This window comes from Homo sapiens, chromosome 5, assembly GCF_000001405.40.
Source record: "Homo sapiens chromosome 5, GRCh38.p14 Primary Assembly".
Taxonomy (NCBI): domain Eukaryota; kingdom Metazoa; phylum Chordata; class Mammalia; order Primates; family Hominidae; genus Homo; species Homo sapiens.
This window is the reverse complement of record NC_000005.10, coordinates 92,678,838-92,700,434: the sequence shown is the minus strand read 5'-3', so window position 1 is coordinate 92,700,434 and position 21,597 is coordinate 92,678,838. Positions and strand designations below refer to the sequence as shown.

At 34.1% G+C, this 21,597-nt stretch overlaps 1 long non-coding RNA gene across 3 annotated transcripts in view, besides 1 other annotated feature; it reads left to right on the top strand.

The window, feature by feature from the left end:
• Positions 2,945-5,054: an enhancer, noted in NCBI's record as "VISTA enhancer hs1039". NCBI's record gives its function as "enhancer in: limb[3/7] | cranial nerve[7/7]" and the evidence as "EXISTENCE:transgenic organism evidence [ECO:0001131][PMID:17130149]".
• The window catches only part of LOC105379082 (uncharacterized), a 135,090-nt gene continuing 125,701 nt past the window's right edge, over positions 12,209-21,597 (top strand). For all 3 annotated transcript variants that reach the window (NR_188298.1, NR_188297.1, NR_188296.1), the window contains exon 1: positions 12,209-12,315. This is a non-coding gene — a long non-coding RNA (uncharacterized LOC105379082). The remainder of the gene's footprint in view (positions 12,316-21,597) is intronic.

Below are 21,597 nucleotides of genomic sequence, written 5' to 3'. Positions count from 1 at the left end.
GTCTCTCCCTGACTGATCTCAGAGATATTACAAAGCACATTAAATCTCCAAAGAGAGACAGCACTTAAAAGTGCGATTTCACTTTTGTGTTAACTCACAAAAGTCAGTATCTCTGACTGATCACATATGAAAGAACCCTTAAAAAGAACAGTATCACATTTAAAAAAATTAAAGCATTTTAAACTGCTCTTTTGGGTCTATCTTCTTTTAGACTCTTCAACCTGATATAATGGTGGGGGTAGGTGGGTGGAAACTTGGTCTAAAAAATAATGATTAGCAAATTTAGGAAATTCTTTAACTTTGGCTGGATACTTTTTGCTTTGTCAGTGCTACTGGCGGTGTGTATATTTGATTTCTCATTTGACCAATTCCAATTACTCTATAACAGTTTCTGTTTTTGAAAAACTAGTCTCTTTTCTTCTCTTTTGGATACAAAAATTCATAGTGACAATACTGGAGAGAGAAACAGAATTATATGTTTTCACAAATATAAAATTAAGGAGTGTTACTTTAGAAAAGGTATGCCATCTTAAAAATTAAACTATGGTGGAATTTTATTAAAGAAAGAGAAGTTAACCAGGTTGGCTAAAACGTGGAGATGATCTCAGACCTGTGATTATGACTTATTTTGCTTTTAGAGAAGAGGCCCTTAATTTTAACATATTTACCAAGGATCTTGAACATCTTGCCAAATAGATAGAATAAAGCTTAGAAAAAATAAGTTGGTCCAACTTTTCCAAAGCAGTATTTGTTTGTAATACATAAATTGTAAGGATGGAATCCAGAAATCTTCAAGTAGCTCTTATAGCACAATGTGGAATACCAAGCAAAGGTATGTGATTAATAACTGCTTATTCTATCAAGGGAAAACTAAGTAATTGTCAATCTCACATGCCATTAAGAATCATCAATGGCTGGGAAGTCATATATAGATTTGATTTCCATAAAATATTTCTTATTACTTAAATCTCTCCAAACTTTAGAAATTTTTAATTTGATGTTAACATTTCACTATGGGGTGTGTGTGTGTGTGTGTGTGTGTGTGTGTGTGTGTGTGTGATTTTCAATTTCTGGTGTTTGTTAAGATGATATTACCAAGAAAAGAAGAGAAAATGTAGAGACCAAATTTTAGAATATCTGGTACACTTAATGTGAATTATCACTATTGCTTCTCAATTAAGATTGTATTATGCATCATTTTTCACACAGGAAAGGCAAGCTATGACTACAAATATTCTTTCTTCAATAGATTTTATGACTGGTGTCAAATTGTATTTTCTTTTTCTTATGTGTTAAGTAACTGTTAGAAACTTTTATATTTTAAACCTTGAGGCAAGATGCTTACAAGTATTTCCATCCTATGGAACAACTTTTAAACTTTTTATGCTATTGGACAGAATAGATATAATATATGAGTTTAAGAACCCTCTTGGAGTTTACTGAATTCTTATCCATTTATATAGTGTGAGGGTTTAGTTGATAACTCAATTTTCTCCAAGTCAGAGTAGTTGACATTTTGATTTTGACTTTCACATATTGAAAAGTTGTTCCAGATTCTACTTTCTAGCTGGTTCACTTGCATTGACTTTTTTAGATGAACAAGAGCACACTTCATTGACAGGCTTTCCAAGACTTTAGGTAAGGTAAATTCAAGATGAAACTCAAATTTATGTTATTATAATCTCAGTCCAATAGATTATATATAATCTATATCTGTAATATATATAATCTAGATATATAATCTATTGGACTGAGAGCACAATGGAGCACAAATACTAGCACATCATATTATAGATGAATTATAATGTCAGGGTCCACTAAATAAATAGTATCACTGGATAAATAATTTTTCTGGTCTTATAAGTGCAAAAATGTCTACCTATATGGTATTTAAGACATAAGGATCTCACATATACAATGACCATCATGATAGAAAAATAAATAAACAGCACTAAATCAAAGCTTTTGTGTAATTCGAAACTGGCAGACTGTGTGCCAAGTCTTCAATTTAAAAGATTTATAAAATAGGATTTATTTCTAAAGCATTGTCCTCTTGGTTATTCTTAAAAGGTGATATATCTTACAAAATAGCTAAGATTAGTCTTCTGAATTAAATATTCTATCTTACATAAAAATAGGTGTTTTAATTTTTGGAAAAATAACAGTGACTTCTTTCAGATATATGAAGTTAACTATTGTTACCTATATTTGTAGCAAAATAGCTGTTCTCACCAAAATTAACCCGGTAATAGCCAATTTTTTTTTTTTTGAGCAATTGTTACATGCCAGATACTGTTTTATGCACTGACAAATATAAACTCATTTCATACTCACAAGTGCTCTATGTGGTAAATATCACTATGAGATCATTTCAAAGATAAGGAAAGTGGAGTATAGAGGTGTGAAAAAAAATTCCCAGTGTTACACAGCTCATATATGTTGATTCAGAACCTATTCCTTTACCCAGTGATTGATATTGCCTATAAAATTTTTTGATATTTTTCTTTCCTGTCTTGGATGCCTCCTTCCCTCAGCTCACATTGCTTCTCCAGAGGACAAATATTGAGATGTAAGTGAAAAATGTAGTTTATAATTTAAGAGTTCTGATTTTTTTTACTAAACAAGATTAAAATGAGAAGCTGATTTTATAATGTGTTTTGTTTTTTTTATTGCATTTCAACAAGATTTGTGGTCCTATACCAACATAACTTAAACAGTTTAAATGGAGGCAGGAATACCTTCAAGAGAAAAGGATTGGTTGTACACACTTCTTGACTGTGTATATTTGTTCTCTGGGAAGTTGGTTTCCTTTAAAAAAAATCTTAAAATGTCCTTTAAAAATATATTAGAAAATATTTTTGTTGGGAAGCTATGTTAAAATATATGAAATATTGAGGTAATCAACTTAAATTATTAGTTACAATCTTAATATTTATTATCACAGAAACAGAATCCAATATGCCTGGTAAAATAGAGAGGAAAACAGCATTATTTTGTTATTTCAGTCTAGGAAGCTACAAAGGAAGAAGTTAGGCCTGATAAGAACTAAAGATGAACATCAGCTCCAGAGGGGAAAAGTGCTGAAATGAACAAAAGTTTTTATCAGGTAGCGCATTAAGTTTTATGCAATAAACTAATTAACTAAAAAAAGAAAGCAATTTACACAGATGCCCCATCAAACACTACAGGGGAAGCACAGATGGGACACTATCAAGTAGCATAATGCTCTAGTACTCATTTATAAAATCTGCATAATTCTTCCAAACATCTGAAGCCCTGTAAAGAAACACATGCTGAATTAAAAAATATATATATATTGCTCTAAATTCAAGCACTCTTTTACATGCTGCAATATATTTGAGTGGGTGAAGTGCTATTTGTGGTTAGTATTTGCCTAAAAAACTAGAAATGGAAACAAATGTATACACACAGGGAATTCCCTTGAATAAACGATTTATTTGCCCTATATTACAACGTGCACTATACTTTTGGTACATTGCTTTTCCTAATTGGATCAAGATAGATTATCTTCCATAGTTGAACTATTCACTTATTCACAAAGAGGTATAAAATTCAGGAAACTTTATCTACTCTGTAGTGAAGATTTATTTTCTTCTTTTAAATTATTTTGTTTTTCAGAATTCGAAAGCTCATTTTATTCAATTCATACTGATGTTGTGGTATAATGTTTTTTGGCGCAATGTTTGGAGGAAAAGTTCTTAAATTTAATAATCACTACTAACTGCACCCATGCATTTTCCTCTAATGATATTAGCGGACAAATTTATATTGTTTGCCTTTATGCGTATCTTTTAAAAATGTGTCTTTGAAAATGACTCTAGTGCCCTGAGCAGCATGTAAAACAAACATTAAATGCCTCACTCCTCTTTCTCAGACTTACGCCTTATCATCTTTCTTGCCACGATTTTTGGTGATCCTTTTTCATTTTATTCTTTTGCTTTTTTGTTTTCTTAATGATCTAAGACAACACCAAAAAAGCAAAAATTGGGGGCAGGGCATAAAAAAGCTCCAGCAGCATTGCTTTATTTTTCCCCCAATCTCTCAGCTACCTCTATTTAAAACATACAATACGCAATCTCATTGCCTTTGACCTTATTGGTTTCCCTTTCAAATGGGCACTAATAATTAATACAGAGGCATTGAGTGATGCGAATATATTCTCCGTTGTATTGTTAAACATGCTAAATAATTTAAAATGCCAGAAGACTCTCTAATGCTTTGTGGGGGAGGTAAAAATTATACCCATTTGGAGGGGTCAGGGGGTTGGGGGGGGTCTTTGCTTTTTTGTTTCTATTGAATGCATTTCGGCTGTACAGCTGGAAAGGGCATTCCTATAGGACTTTAAAGGCAAAGTAGAAAAATGACATAAAAGCGTTGCTTGGATTTGATTGATGCACTCTCATATTTGAAGTTCACTCAGAGCTTTGTGCTAGAAGGCCTGGGTCACTCTATCCAGTGCTCTAATGAGACTGTGTGTGAACACTTCCAGCTTTGTAGGCCTTGCTTTAATCAGAGATTGGAAAACACTCCTGACTGATAGGCTCCAGAATCAGATCTAAACAGAAAATAACATGCTCGATTTGGCCTCTGAAGGTGGGTTGAGCAAATCTTTGTGATGTATTGGAACATTTGCTGAGTGCAAGTGCACGTGGGGTGGTTCCTATTTCTGTCGGCAAATACAAATTTTTCACTCAGCAGGCATAATCAGAGCTAACTCGAGAGGAGAAATAACAAAAACTCAACAGCCCTTAGCAACTCAGCATGGCATAGAGGGATTTAAGACTTTAGCATTTTATCTCCATCAGTATGAAAATGTATGAGGAAATTTGAACTTTGAAAGTGCAAATAAACACATTTAACACTTTGCAAGCCACTGATTTCACTGGGTCTTTTGCTGGGCACCTTCATTTCTTTCTTTATCATTTTCACTTAAGATTTTCAAATTTCATAAAACTTGCTTCCTAATTTGCACCATTTAACCAAGTGAGCTCATTTGGAGCTGAGGATAATGTGAGTACAAGCTCCCAATGGTTTACTAGTGCAAAACGATATTCCAAAGTTAAAAGTTTTGTGCAGAATGACAAAAGATAGTGTGCTGATAGTCAAACATTAATCTTACCTTTTATAAGACTAGAAATCCCTAATACTCACCATTCATGGAGACCTGAGTCAGAGAAACTTTTGGATCTTACTTTTTCATAATTTTAAAAATGTAATGCAATCATGAAAATAACCAGTAAAGGTTATGTAGCCAAAGGTTTATTTTCACCAGTTACACAATGCATACATACTTAGTGCCTTGTTCACACAATTTTTACATAATTTCATTACCTTAGGATTTTCTTATCTTTATTAATATCATTTTTAGAAGCAGTTGAATATCAAAATATATCATGTCACCATTTGATATTGAGCCCTATGTCATTTTATCATGTCTGAAAATAGGAGGTTCACCTTAGAATACTCTATGCCCATATTGCCCAAGCATCTATGATCCTAAAGTCCTATTAGTGGGGTAACCATGTGTTTTATCATCCAAACTTAGACTGCTTATGAACAAAATGGTACTATTATTAATAAAACCAAGAAACAGGAATAATGTTGTGAAACATACTAGAAAAGTGAGGACATATGGTATCTTACTTACAGGGAACTTTCTTTATAATATTTAAGTTGTCCTAATAAATGTTAGAATGATAATTCCTCCACAAGACAAATTTTCTGTATTATATTTTTCATAGCCAGTAGTCTCCAGTTAACTTTTTTCCTACCAGCACTCTAGAGATACTTGGCTCTATATTTTAGAAATATTTATCAATTACAATTTCAGATGTAATTGTATTTGAGAGACTTAAAAAATGTCAACAACTGGCCAACTAGCAAGTCCATGGTACACCCCACCTGCCCATATTCATCTTGATTCCTGGAAGATCTAGGGTGACACAAGTGATTCAAAGCATATTGATTTTGCTCTGACTTTAGAGCACTGAAAACATTTTTTAATTCAGAAAAGTATCTATTAGACACCCAAATCGAGAGCAGGAAATTAACAAAATTCCACACTCTCATCCTGCCCTATGCTCTACTCCTACTTTTTGCTTAAACCACTGGGATGTTTATTATGAAACCAAAGAAACTGCCAGATCAGTGGATTCTGACCTCACTTTTCTTCTCACGGAACCAAAAGCACACTGCTACCAAAACTGTAAATGTTGGGATCAAATGTTCTAGGCAAATATCTACATTCACTATTGCCTGGTTATTCTCATCTTTTCCCCAGGTTAGTTTTTCAGAATGGAGGTGAATTATTTGATGCTAACTAAATTGTTTCTCTGTCTCTGTCTCTCTTTTTCTCTCTCCAAAAATGTGTTAAAATAATAAACCTAGAATGAGGGAATGTTGTAAGCCTGTAATTCCCTTGATTTTTATAATTTCATATAAAATTTGCATAAATGTTTATATTTCATAAAATGATAGTTTGTTGAATGAGTCAGTAGATAAATAGAACCAAATTAAAAGATTAATGCACTCATTTTAATGTATACTTATTAATAATTATACAAACAACATTTCTAAATATTATAATATCTCTCCATAAAGTGCTGTTTTTGGTTTGACCCTGTCATTATTAAGACTGGGGAAAAAGTTTATTTGTAAGTTATTGGGTATTTTCTATGTAATTGATCATTTGGCAAGTATTGATGATGCTACACAGGCCATAATTTTTCTTATTTTTGGACATTTTTGTTTTATGTAATTTTATAGAAAACAGCAATTTTCTTTAAACTTGAAAATTATTAGTAAAAAGTAAAACAGTTAAGAAAAAATTATGCTCCCAGAAAAATGAGAAAAAGTGATTGAATGTCAAAGTATCATCATGGTGTTTGAGATTATGGAAAATATTTAGATAAATAAACTTCTGTTTATGACACCTTCTTCTTTATGCTATCATTTCCTTATATTTGGGTACATAGTGGATTAGCACATGTAAGTAAATTAAATGTAGCATTGAAATAATTTGGTATGATTTATATACTGCTTATATCTTTGACTACCACTTCTCCCTTTTCTCTCACATCCAAGCCAAGACTAACCTCTACCCATTCTACCTTCTAAATAGCTGTCAGATAGGGCTGCTTCTATCTATAATCACTGTCACTGTGTTAGTTTAGACTACAATAATCTCTCCTGTATGAACTCCTTACCTTAAATTTTGTCCCTCTTCATTCCCCACATGGTTGTAAGAAGAAAATTTCTGAAATGCAAATCTGGTTTGATCATTCTGCTGTTTAAAACCATTTGATAGCTCTCCATTACTTCTGGATAAAGTCAAACTCATAACATGACTAACAACTTCCTTTTATATTATGGCCTTTGGGAACCTATTACTTTCACCTCATTCCTTCTTCTTTCCTCTATTGCATTCTCACATTCATTTTTCCTTTAATAATAGTCTTTTTTTTTTCAAATCCCCTCCTCTTCCTTTCTATATAATTATTTTTTCACTCATTCAGGCCAGTTTTACCACTTATCCTGACCATCTTCCAAGATTAATGAATCTGGGTGAAGGGGTTCCTACTATATGCAATAGTAACCTTCTCTTGCTTTATCATACTTGTGGATTTGTTTACCTAAATCTCTACTATGGTATAAGCTTCATAAAATTGCTCACTTTTCTTGCCATGTTCACAAAAATAAGCCAGACTTGAATACAGCACTTGCTACATAGTAGTTGTTCAACATTTATTTATTTATTTATTGAATCAATCAATCAATGAAATACGTATTGACCTCTGTGAGAACAATTTGCTATTAAAGACATATGCATTTCCACTTTGTCAACCACATTTCCTAACACAATTCTATGTAAAGAAACAAACTCGTCATTTGATTTCAAATCTTTAGTAAATTTTTAAAAAATATTTATATTCCTTTTTTATATACTTTAAATTCTGGGATACATGTGCAGAACGTGCAGCTTTGTTACACAGGTATACATGTGCCATGGTGGTTTGCTGCACCCATCAACCCATCATCTACAGTAGGTATTTCTCCTAATGCTATCCCTTCTCTAGCCCCCACCCCGACAGACCCTAATGTGTGATGTTCCCCTCCCTGTGTCCACGTGTTCTCATTGTTCAACTCCCACTTATGGGTGAGAACATGTGGTGTTTGGATTTTTGTTGCTGTTTTAGTTTGCTGAGAATGATGGTTTCCAGCTTCATTCATGTCACTACAAAGGACATGAACTCATCCTTTTTTATGGCTGCATAGTATTCCACGGTGTATATGTGCCACATTTTCTTTATCCAGTCTATCATTCATGGGCATTTGGGTTGGTTCCAAGTCTTTGCTATTGTGAATAGTGCCGCAATAAACATACACGTGCATGTGTCTTTATAGCAGCATGATTTATAATCCTTTGGGTATATACCCAGTAATGGGATGGCTGGGTCAAATGGTATTTCTGGTTCTAGATCCTTGAGGAATCGCCACACTGTCTTCCAGAATGGTTGAACTAATTTACACTTCCACCAACAGTGTAAAAATGTTCCTATTTCTCGACATGCTCTCCAGCATCTGTTGTTTCTTGACTTTTTAATAATTGCCATTCTAACTGGTGCGAGATGGTATCTCATTGTGATTTTGATTTGCATTTCTCTAATGACCAGTGATGATGAGCTTTTTTTCATATATTTGTTGGCCACATAAGTGTCTTCTTTTGAGAAGTGTATGCTCATATCCTTCACCTACTTTTTGATGGTATTGTTTGTTTTTTCTTATAAATTTGTTTAAGTTATTTGTAGATTCTGGATATTTTCATTACTTTTCTTTATAAATACATGCTCACCTCTCTCTCTCTTTCATTTTATGTTTCAAAGTAAAATATGCCATAAGTAGGCCGCAGAAGAAAAACCCAGAAGGCTGTTTTTATGAAATGTTTGGGAATGATATTTCAAAAACCTTAAAGAAAGAACGTTGACATAAATTCTCATTCTGGATTGGTAGTCATTATCAGAGACATTTACATTAATCTATTCTTCTAAATAAAAACTGTAGGAAAATATATTACTTTTTCTTTGTCAAGTAAGCATAATACTTAGCTAATTTTCTATTAAACAATTTATAAGAACAACAATCATTTTGTGTTTTCTCTGTTTCATACTTGTAGGTGTCAAACTTACTTCTGTGTCTAAAATGATGTTTACAGACTTAACTAATGATTTGGTTGTAGTATTTTCATGTCCGCAATTTTGGCACAATAAAATTAATGGGAGAAACACAGCTCACTGCAACCTCCACCTCCCGGGTTCAAGCGATTTTCCTCCCTCAGTCTCCCGAGTAGCTGGGATTGCTGGCCCATACCACCATGCTCAACTAATTTTTGTATATTTAGTAGAGACAGGGTTTCACCATGTTGGCAAGGCCAGTCTCGAACTCCTGACCTCAAGTGATCCACCAGCCTCAATCTCCCAAAATGCTGGGATTACAGGCATGAGCTACCATGCCCAGGAGATATCGTGTTTTCTATATTAATTTTATTTTCACCTTCCAAAAATAAAATGAAAATGGAGAAATTGAAATTGAATAAGAAAAAAATCTTATCTTACTAAGCATAAAGTTAGAATAAGAGAACAATTCTAAATTTAGGTACATTTAATTTTAAAAATTAAAAGAATTTCATGTATTAAAGGAAATAATTGGTCTGAAAGAGTTCAAGCACTGCACAGGCCAAGGGACACAGGAAAAATGTGATTAATGTTAGATATAATTTCTAAGCATATTATGTTTACTCATAGGCCCTGTCCCCTTTCTCTTTCTCTTCTATTTCTGGATCTGACTTAAGGAATTGAAATGTTCCAGTACAGTTTAATTAATATTCACAGGTGATTTAGAAGTTACTTTTTTCTTTTTTTTCAGGCAGCCTTTTTTATCTTTGATGGGACCAAAATTATTAGCTAGACATTTTTAATTTATTTATTTTATTTATTTATTATTTATTTATTTATTTTTTTGAGATGGAGTCTTGCTCTGTCGCACAGGCTGGAGTCCAGTGGCGCCATCTCGTCTCACTGCAAGCTCCGCCTCCAGGGTTCACGCCATTCTCCTGCCTCAGCGTCCCCCCGCGTGGCGGCGCCCGCCACCACGCCCGGCTAATTTTTTGTATTTTTAGTAGAGATGGGGTTTCACCGTGTTAGCCAGGATGGTCTTGATATCCTGACCTCGTGATCCGCCCGCTTCGGCCTCCCAAAGTGCTGGGATGACAGGCGTGAGCCACAGCGCCCTGCCTAGCTAGACATTTTTATTGGGTGAGCAAAATGGCTCTAGTTCCAATGATACAAAGGAAACGTTACATTTACTTGGCCAGCTCCTGCTTCCTCCAAATTGCTTAACCCCAAAACTGCTTACTCAAGGCTCAAGGTATGTCTCCATTGCTTGGCCACCTACACAATTTGCAGGTACCTGTGGGCAGAGCATGAAGGATGCATTCGAGGGCCAGATCAGCAGCTTCAAAATAGATTTTTATTAGTAGTTCAACAGTTGGCTTCCATGATATAAACCCTAGAAACTTAGAATAACTACATTTAATTCATACTTCCTCTGCTCTCTTATTTAGTTAAGTAAGTAAAAACTGTCTAAGTAATTGTTGCTATCCAGGTCTGTGGGAAATGACTACTAGCTTTTGACTAACCTCTGGGGATTGCACTACTAGAATCCGAAGAAAATTCTAAAGATCTGGTCATCACAGTTCTAAAAAATCTCTTGGAAAGCAAAGACAAATCCACATTTTTATGTATTGCTGGGGAAAATTTTCATCAAACCACATTATTTTGTTCGTATAATTCAAGTAATTGTAGGTAAAGTCAGGTGGTCAGTTATCAGGCCATCTATACAGAGCTCACTTTCTAAAGTCAGGTGACTTCTTTCCACTTTTAGTAGTTGGAGCCTGACAAAGTTAAAATCACCCTAAACATATTTCTTAAAAAAGTCTTTATTTCCTCTTCTTTTTTTTTTTTTACAGAAATATGTTTTCTAATAGTACTAATAGTACATAGTTTTAAAATGCCACAGACTCTATTAATTTTTAACTAGAAGTGCAGGATGTTTCCAAAGAGCAGATTAATTGTGATTGAATTATCTTTTTTAAACCAAACATTTCTAGTAAATAATATAAACATAATAATTTGGATTTTTCATGTGGCTTAAAGAGATAGATTATTTGAAAGAAAAGTTTATATTTGGTAAAGAAGTAGGGGTGAGTGGCATCAGAGAAAATCAATGTTGTTTTTCAGTTTTTTGGTTAATCACTTTTATTGCTTTATTTCTTTTTGAAAAGTATAGTTTGTTCTTCTAAATCAATACATCCTATCTACTGTGTTGTAAGATGATACAGAAAAAAATAGCCTAATAACAAATGAAAGAACAACTTATATTTCTTATATTTTTTCTACCAAATTTATACTAAATATCTCTACTTAAATATTCTGCTGCTTTCAAGTTATGTTCTTTTTTTTTTTTAAATTTAGGCAAATTGTGGAAAGCAATTGGACTATGGTTACAAGGGATGGAAACGTATAATTGGTGTAATAGGATTCATACTTGTTAAGCTAGGGAGAAGAGAAACTGAAATAAGTTAATTCCTTTCCAAAGAAAAGGATCCCAGTGTTTTTAAACCAAGGGGAAAAAAGCAAAGGTCTGTCTAACTGCCATGTAAACTCATTTTAAATGTCATGTCTTATTACAACCTGATAATCGGAGTGCTTATTTCCCCCTTTTGCTTGAGCCATCAAATTTGTCAAAATTTTATGATAATTCATTCCATCATTCCTTAGACATTTAAATGACAGAGAGCCCTAGTCAAGGGGGGGAAAGCCTCTGTAATCTTACTCCTCATAGTATAGCTGCCTCCAGAGAGATTTTTAAAATATTCCATATCATGGTATAAGCAGCAGCTAAATTTCTCAATTTCACTGTGATTTCTTGCCGTTTTGGAAAGTGACAATAAGTTGGCTACGTACCATTCTTGACCTTTTGACTTCGGAACCACTGCTGACCAAATCCTAGCTTGCCTTGTTTAAGTCAGTAGCTCTATTATCACTCTGATCCTCTCCCAGAGGGTCTGAAGCTTTCACTCATGCTCCTGAACGGGTAAGCTCCCCCTCTAGTGTTCACTGCTCATCAGATTATTCCTCCAACAAATAAGACAGAGAACTGCCTGTTTTTTTGGTTCCCTATCGAAGGACGGAGCTTGGAACAACATTTATAACGGTTTAATGACACAAAGAGTAAAAGGTAAGTATAAATCCTACATTAAAAAAAAAGTTCCTTCCTTTTGATTCCTTTGAAAGCATTGCTACTGTTTGGTTATGAAACTAAGAAATGTTGCTTGTGCTGCCTTGCAGGCAGTATGCATGGCTGAATAGACAGGATGAGTTTGAAAGATATAAGATGATCTTGGAAAAAACAATCCTTTCTGTTGGGAAGCTGGATGTCTGGTTATGAATAAATGACTTTTCATTGGAAGCTGACACTCAGGAGCTCTTTATTTGTAGACCAATTACCAGCAGAGGAGCAGGATAGGGAGGGGGTTGTTCTAGGGAACCCCAGCATATTTTTCTTCCAGAATTTTAAAAAAGACCAGTAAAAAATGAAATGCCTTCCATTTGTTTTTACAAAGAGCCTGGGTAAACAGTCCTCTACACTAAAAGACCCTCACTATATTTGACACAGAACTACAGAAAAAAGCGCAATATATATTGGTGGTAGTTTTCAAGTGTGTTGAACTCAAAGGTTAAAAGTTCAACAACTTCATTAAATGTAGTGTTGAAGCCTTAGTGAGGCATAATCCAGAATTTATCATGCAATTGAAAGTAAGAGAAAGAAAAAAGAAAGAAAGAGCAAAAGAAGGAAAAAAATAAAACAAAAAGCTGATATAGTTCTGAGAGGTTAATCTTCACAGATGGTTACTAAACTAAAATCTAGAAGTTTTATTTATTAATTTTCAATCATGGGCATAATTTTAAACTAAAAAAAAGTGTACACCAGATTCTACAAAGAAGGCACAGATAAACTTTCTATTTAATTGTTTCAAAGTGTGTTTGAAACAATTGTGTATGTCTTGAAATAGGTCATATAATTTATTTGAAATTCAGGTTGGAAATAATATGACCACATTAAATTTCAATTGGTTTTAATCTTCTGAATTTTGGGGAATAAAATAAGCCCTCAACAAAGTTTTTCTTCATATTGATGATTCTGAAAATTAGGTTAGTTTTATTCTGGTATTCTAAGCTAACATGTCTTTCTTAATTAAAATACTAGCATTTTTAAAATGTGGTAAATAAGTATGACCACATAAACAGAAGGGAAGAACTTCCTTTTGCCGTATTGTTTTCATATTCTTTAATAATCAAAATGATCACTAGTCTCATCATTCTCACTAAGCATGTATTAAGTACCTACAAATTATACAAACCGACACCCTGTCAGAACTCAACTTACATTATTAAATGTAAAGTTTGTTATGGCATTAAAACTGAATTATTCTGTTTTGGTCTAATAAAGACCTCAAAACGTTTTCTAAAGTACAGTAACCCATTCCATAAAAATATTCATTACCTTATCATTATTTTTCTCTTTACTGGGTTAAAACTAGGTTGCTTGATATGGCAGAAGAAAAACAATGCTTTCAAGTCCTGTAATGTTAGAATACCTTAACTTTTTCCTGTTTTCAATTTTCTAGGTTCTGTGTTTTATTAAATTCCATTTTAGTGCCCTACTTTAAAGCTGACTTCAGGGTGTTGTTAAAAAGGTCATCATTCATGAACTAATGGGACCAGGTGACTAGGACCTATCTTTAATCACAAAGCAGTGGCCCCTTTGAAGGTTCAAAGGATTAATATTGCCTGCATGTCCATTCAGTTTTGAGCTTCTTGGATGACACAACAACACATAGGATGGCCATTTCTACTAGGCTGAGAGATTTCCAGGTGGACAGCTGTCTTTTCTGAACTGGACTCAGATGATACATACTTCCCCCTGAGCAGTTGTTTCACAGAAGTATCCTTCAATCACATGTCTTATGCTAAGACTCACTGTGAGACACACAGTTTGAGTTGGAGGCCAGCACAAATATGAATGTCACCTTCTTTAATTTTATTTTTTTAGAGGCTGCTCTAAATTGCTGGTTCAGGCAAAGTCTAAACCACTAGAAAAATTCTAAAGTAAATAGACTGCCATTTATAATGGAAAAATTGAATTGTATGAAACTTTCATAGCCCACGTTTCTAGTTGTACAAATTTCACATAAAACTTTCTAGTAGGAAGGAAGTCATGATTTATATCAGTTTGACTAACTTAATTGCTAAAGATTATGCAGCATTGCAAAGGACAGGTAAAGAGGCTTCTGTCAATCAAAGTGGTTATAGAAAAACACACAGAAAAAAATGACAACAACAAAAATTTAAAGCACAAAATACATTTAACTACACAGAACCCTTAAGATCTTTGTAATATAAAGTGATTTATTATAGGATTATAAAATATAAGAATGATAGGGTCTTTAGAGATGATCTCACCTACTTTTCTCATTGGTCAAGCCCCAGGCCCAGGAAAACTTGGAAAAATGGGTTGTCTGTTTAATGTCATATGGCGAAAAAATAGAGAACAAGGCATTGGATCTTGGCCTGTGGGTTTCAATTGCAGTGCACTTTATGCCAAGCGAGCTTCAGTCATGCTTTCGAGTTAAGTATGAGTGCTTTCATAGAAATAGGAAGAAAAATACATCTTTGGGAAGTTTGGAGGAGACATGAGTTATTTTAGGAGATAGCACTTTTTTTTTTTTTTTTGAGGCGGAGTCTTGCACTGTCGCCCGGGCTGGAGTGCAGTGGCGCGATCTCAGCTCACTGCAACCTCTGCCTCCCAGGTTCAAGCGATTCTCCTGCCTCAGCCTCCTGAGTAGCTGGGATTACAGGCACCCACCACCGGAGTTTCACTCTGTTGGCCAGGCTTGTCTCAAACGCTTGACCTCGTGATCCTCAGCCTCCCAAAGTGCTGCGATTACAGGTGTGAACCACCACGCCCAGCCCAAATTAATAAACACAATTTTTATATACATGTTGAAAAGTGGTCATGTGGGCTTACTTATTTTTCAGAAGAAATTATGCATTCATTGATTAATTAACAACAATTCCAATGATTATGAGACAAGAGTAGGTGGTTAATGGCTTTTAAATTATAACAGCAAGTTAAAAAAATTTTTTTTAAAGTAGGTGCACCATTTTCTTTGTTAACCCTATCATCCTAAGTGGGAAGGATAAATTAATGTCTTGCTTTATCTTTGTTACGGACTGTTTGTGCCCACCCCACCCAAATTTCATATCTTGAAATATAATCCCCAAAGTGATGCTTTTTGGAGGTAGGGCCTATGGGAGGTGATTAGGTCATGAGGGTGGAGCCCTCATGAATGGGATTAGTGCCCTTAAAAAAAGAGGCCAGAGAATTAGCGGAAGAATTTAAGGTGCAGTTGGCTTTCTGCAGCGTGGAAGATGGCCCTCACTGCCAGATGATGCTGGCACCCTGATCTCAGATTTTCAGCTTCCAGAAGTGTGAGAAATAAATGTTTGTTGTTTAAACTACTCAGCCTAGGGTAATTAGTTATAGTAACCTGAACTAACTAAGACAGCCTTTCTGAGACAGCCTCTCAAATCAATTTTCAGATTTCTAAAGTGATTAATGAGGTCATACATCCTACCAGGAAAGTTAGGTAAAGTAACCAGATTTTAATGTCTTTACAAGCTTAATTAACAAGGTTAAAATTGATCTTTTATTAATCTCACTTAGCATGTGAAAATGTACGTCTCTTTCTTTGATCTCAGTTGAAATTTTCTGTATTCACCATTTATTCTATCATGTTCCTAACTGTATATCTGTGATCTAATTAAATATTAATCCAATCTATACACATAGATAAAAACCCTGAAACTATATATATTCACATATAAACAGTAGTTTTACCTTGGTAGAGTGAAATTATACGTGTTTTATTTCTAATTTTTTTGCAATAAACATGTATTTATATCCTAATGTTAAATAATCTTTCTCATATAATGTCATCGAAAAAAGAAACTGACATCTAGTGAAAAGGACAGAAAGAACTAAAAATACATTGTTCATGTTTTTAGTAGTCTCTACCTGTTTTCCCACAAAGTGGGAAGTTAACAATGTATTGTTTTCAAGTATGTATTGAGTGCCTATATGCATCTGGCACTGTTGCAGAGTTTAGGATATGTCAGTGAACAAAACAAGTGAGAACACTGCTTTCTTAGAGCTTAAATTCTAGTGAGAATCAATTAGAAAACATTAGGAAAACAATGAAGTTTATAAAGGTAAGGCTATAAAATTTGTCCATGAGGAGATTGTGGTCAATTGTGTGTGGCAGCAAGGGAAGTCATAAAAATAGGAAAATGTGGAGGAATATTGAATCTCCTTTGAGTACAATTTTGGTGGCTACGTTGATAACAGTTTATATAGGAAAAAGTCTGAATTTAGCCCAAGGAAACTGGTCATAAGGAATACAGATGACACTTTTGCGGGTTTGAAATCGTTAAGGAAATAAAGAGGAAAATCCTTACCTGTAGGGAGCAGAGGCTTCAAAATATGGTTCATTGATCTCATTGTGCTGCTGAAATATTTACGTGAACTAAATACGAAACAAGAGTATTATTTGCATTTACACTTAAAGTTCGGGAGTTGCAGGTAGTTCTTTAGTATAGGAGCAAAGAATACATACGTTAATCGTGAATTAAATTGCTTGAATCAACATTAATTCATGGAAAGTATTAGTCCACATGATAAAAGCATTATTGTAAGCATGTTGGAATTTCATCATTTTGAACATCCTGCCTTACTTCTCTTTACTTTTTAAAAATTCAATTCATTAATTGTCTCCATTTGGAGACTTACTTTGATTCTTTTTCTTCCCTTGCTCCAATCTCTGTTAGGAGCATAATTCTGTGCTACATTTAGTTAGATGCTAGTCCTTCACACATTCTGATTCAATTGTAAGTTTTCTTATCCTATTTTGCCAGAGAATGCTGAAGAGCAATGATTACACCTTTTTCTTTTCTGCATCTACATCTCTATTCTCAGTGCCATAACCTTCCACTCATGAATAAATAAAATCATTGTTGTAAAGATGGAATGAAAGAAAACTTGAGCTTCCTAGTCTTCATTCTACAGCTTGATCATTATTTTACAGATATAGCAATAAATTTTCCATGATAGTAAACATTTTTTCAAGGCGAAAAGATGTATTCTAAATTAGAGCCACATATGGAAATGAGGACTCTTGCCTGCAACTCTAAACTCATGCAATTGTAAAATCCCTTTGGTCTAGAATGCCAGTATCATATCTGTTTTAGAAAGTGTCTCTCCAAAAGAGATATGATATTGGCATTTTCTAGCAAAGCAGTTTTACAATTGCATAAGTTTAGAGTTGGAGGAGGCAAGAATCCTAATTTCCATATGTGGCTCTAATTTAGAATACATCTTTTCGCCTTGAAAAAATTATCTCTCCAGCCGGGCGCGGAGGCTCATGCCTGTAATCACAGCAGCTTGGGAGGCCAAGGAGGGCAGATCACAAGGTCAGGAGTTCAAGATCAGCCTGGCCAACATAGTGAAACCCCGTCTCTACTAAAAATACAAAAATTAGCTGGGCATGGTGGCGTGCTCCTGTAATCCCAGCTACTCAGGACGCTGAGGCAGGAGAATTCCTTGAACCCGGGAGATGGAGTTTGCAGTGAGCTGAGATGGCGCCACTGCACTCCAGCCTGGGCAACAGTGCGAGACTCTCTCTCAAAAAAAAAAAAAGTGTCTCTCCAAATACTATATGATACTAACTAAAGCATCTAAATCTTACTATATTTTCTGTGCTGTATTACCAGTTCATGTCATTCATTCCTATTTGAGGAACATCATGATAACGCAATAGTTGCCAAACTTTCTTCTCTTCATCAAACTTACATACTAGGATAGAGGCAGGTGATAATAAAAAGAATGTGGTATAAATGCACTGAAAGAAAAGAATAACAGAATATTGGAAGTAGAGAATGCTAGAAAAGGTCAACCCTTGAAGACTTCTTTATGTCATCTGTAAGTTTGACTGTGGTAGTTTGCCACCAAAGCTCTGTCTTTGCTTATGTAAAGTTATTCCCAACAGGCAACAGTGTGCCAAATTTTCTACCTTAATTCTTTACAGAGGTTCAACCCAAGGATATCATGGTTAAAGTTCCAGTGTGTCTTCAAGTGTGTGTTAATGTGTCTCACATTGAAGCTGCTTGAGTATTCTGCTGTATGTATCCAAACATATTCAGGTCAATGTGATATGTATTAAAAATATTACTGTAATATAAGGTTTTTGTGGGGGAATGCCCAGATAATACTATTAGATACTTTGATTAACAAAGGATATGATGAAGAAAAAATAAAAGGGGTTATAGGAGGTCCCCAAAAATTATTAGAAAAAAATAGGGCAAATGATCTGTTACAAAATTTACGTTTCCCGCTAGGTATCAGGTAAACTGGCCACACTGAAAACATTATATTATGTACAAACCTGACCTATTGTAAAGGATGCAAAGCGATACTGGTTGCAAATTAGGCATTCTATTTCCAATAAATTCTATAAACCTTAATGAGGAAATGTAGTCAATGTCATTTAAGTAAGAATTAAAAAAGAGAACCAACCATGACACAATTATAGACGCATGGCATTTCAGAGAAGAAATGAATCTTATAAGGACATTTAGGTAACTTTACAGATGAAACCAAATGTAAGGGGCTGTTGAGTACAGATCACCTTGGCAGAGAGAAGATCTGGATAATATTTTCTCTATTCAGATTTTAATATAAACTTAGCTCCCTTGTTTATTTCTCTCATACCTCTATCACTATATGAATGTGAACTTCTAGGTTGCTCTCACATACCTCTGAATCACTGTTTAGCACAGAGTCTGGCATAATAATTCTATTACGTATGCTTGCTTGCTGCCTTACTTGCTAAATAAATGAGTGAATGAATGATGAATGAATATATGGCAGACTCTATGCAGACTATGGTAAGTCATGGAACTAAACACAGAGCATCTGACAAAACGACTCAACTTTTGGGAAAAAAAATCTCTCTCAAACGTCTATGGAAAAATAAAAAGAATCACAAGTTCAATCTCAATTCTAAGTAAACATAAAGTCAAAATTATTGAATGCAAAGCATGTACCAAACCGTTTTACTTGTGTTAAGTTGATTCCCATAACAATCCCCCAAAACAGATATTATCCTTAATGAGAAGAAAAAGTAACTGAGCCTAGGGGAAATTAAATAAATTGCCCAAAGTGACATAGCTAAAACAAAAGAGCTAGATTTGAATGCAACCCTAGCTGACTGCAGAGCCCATGCCCTTTCTACTCTACCATTCTTCCTGCTATTGAAGCATGATTTGGAAAAGTGGTGTTTGGAAATGCAAGATGTTGTGATATTATTAACACAGAATTTGTAACAACTATGGCAACAAACACTGAACATAATTTAACCTGTACTCTAGACTTTAGGGTAACACTTTAAAAATGTTGAGAGAAAAAGAGTCTTGATTCCATGGCCATTCATTTTAAAATGGAAGATGGATTCAGTGCTATAAAGACTCTGAAATATGAAATTAAGAGTAACATCACTGAACTGGCTTCTTCTAAATATCCTGGCTTTATCACTTACTGAAGGTATGATCTTGGGGACATGATCTCTCTGTACCTCATTTTTCTCATTTGTAAAATGGTGATAACAGCAATACTTTTTCTTGTATGTCAACTGGAGGATTACGTGAGATGCAATTGTAAAGAAATGCATATTTAGAATAGTGGTAGACACACAGGAAACATTTAGTGAATGGTAGCTATAATACTGAAGATGAAGAAATGCAAGGAACCAAAGGGTTCCTTCATAAAAAAGAATCAGTCGAGTAACATAGGAGAAAAAGGGGCAAGTCAAGACAGCATGGGCCAAAGGCCAGTAGACCCAATTGGCACCAAAAATTCTCTTTAAGGTGAGGGTTGAAGTAGCGTTCAAAATCTCTTCAGAATAAAGTTTACCTGGAAAAGGTGAGTACAATTTGGCATGGGTCTGCATAACATAAGTGGTATGGTCTGCCTGGCCATACCTTTTCAGTGAAAGAAAATATCAGGAATCAAAAAGAAGTTAAAGTATGAGAAAAACTGACTAAAATGTACAGAATTAAATAGAACAAAATGTAAAAGTCCAAATTTAGGCTCAAAAAGTCAAAATAATCTGGAAAAATTCAGCATTAGTTTGTGAACAAATTTATTTAATAGTTAATTATAAAATATCTTAAACTCCTTTATATAATTATCAGTATATTGTATATTTATTTACCTATTTATCTACATGTGTATGGCATCTCTTCCCTTACTCGGATGTACGTTTCTATATAGCAGGGAGCTCATGTGTCTTGTCCACAGCTTCCCACAATGTGATTCTCACGATGGCTGGTACATTGCAGTTACTCCATACATATTTTTCAGCAAATATGTTGATTTTTAAAATAAATCCCCTTTAGTTAACTTTTGTGGAGTATATTAGTTAATCTGTCTTAGCTGCTGAGTGCTTATCTTCAAAATTGTTATAATTAATGAGACAATATATGTAAAGTGCTTGGCCTGATGCCTGGCATTTTGCAGCTTTTCATAAATGTTAATTCTACTCTTCCTGCTCAGTTCTTCTGTGTAGAGGATAAATTCCACAGATGGTAGAGGTGTTTCCTGGTATGGAATGACACAAGACTGATCTTTAGATAGCATGCTTCAACAGATTGTCCAATCTTTTACATATTTTATCTCTTACAGAAACTCCTAAATTATTGGTACAATGAAAGTTTATGCTTACCCCATATCTAGTAAAATATTAATAAAATTCAAAGAAATTTAATTTTATGAAATTTCATAAACACTATTGATCTTTATTATATTATATAAATATCATATCATCTCTGTTTTCAAAAGACTATATGACTGAGCTGAGTGAACTTAGATTAAATAGCCATATTACAAGGAATATGGAGAAACCATTTTTTCAGTATAAATTTTTTAAGTAAAATTAACATTGAACTCTTGGAGACATCAGTTTTAATACTAATAATTGTATACTTAGAGTTTCTTGTAGTTAGACAAAAGCACTGCACAGCAGTAGAACAAAGCACAAAGGGTTATTTCACTGTTTTTATTTTTTATACATTAACTCCAAATGAAGACAATTATATTTGAGATGTGCATTTAAGAATCGGGTGAATCATAAGGTCAGATGATCTTTAAACTAAAATCAAATGACCATTGAAATCTCTTACAAAAGACATTTGGCTTAGGAAAATTGTTTTCTTTTACTTGAGAGTTGGCATTTCTACATTTGCTGCTTTAAAATTACTTCTAAAGATTACATTTGTATTACAATGGAATTGTTGTGCAAATCTGGCTTAATACATAAAATGAACGCTATTATAGTGTCCCTGATCA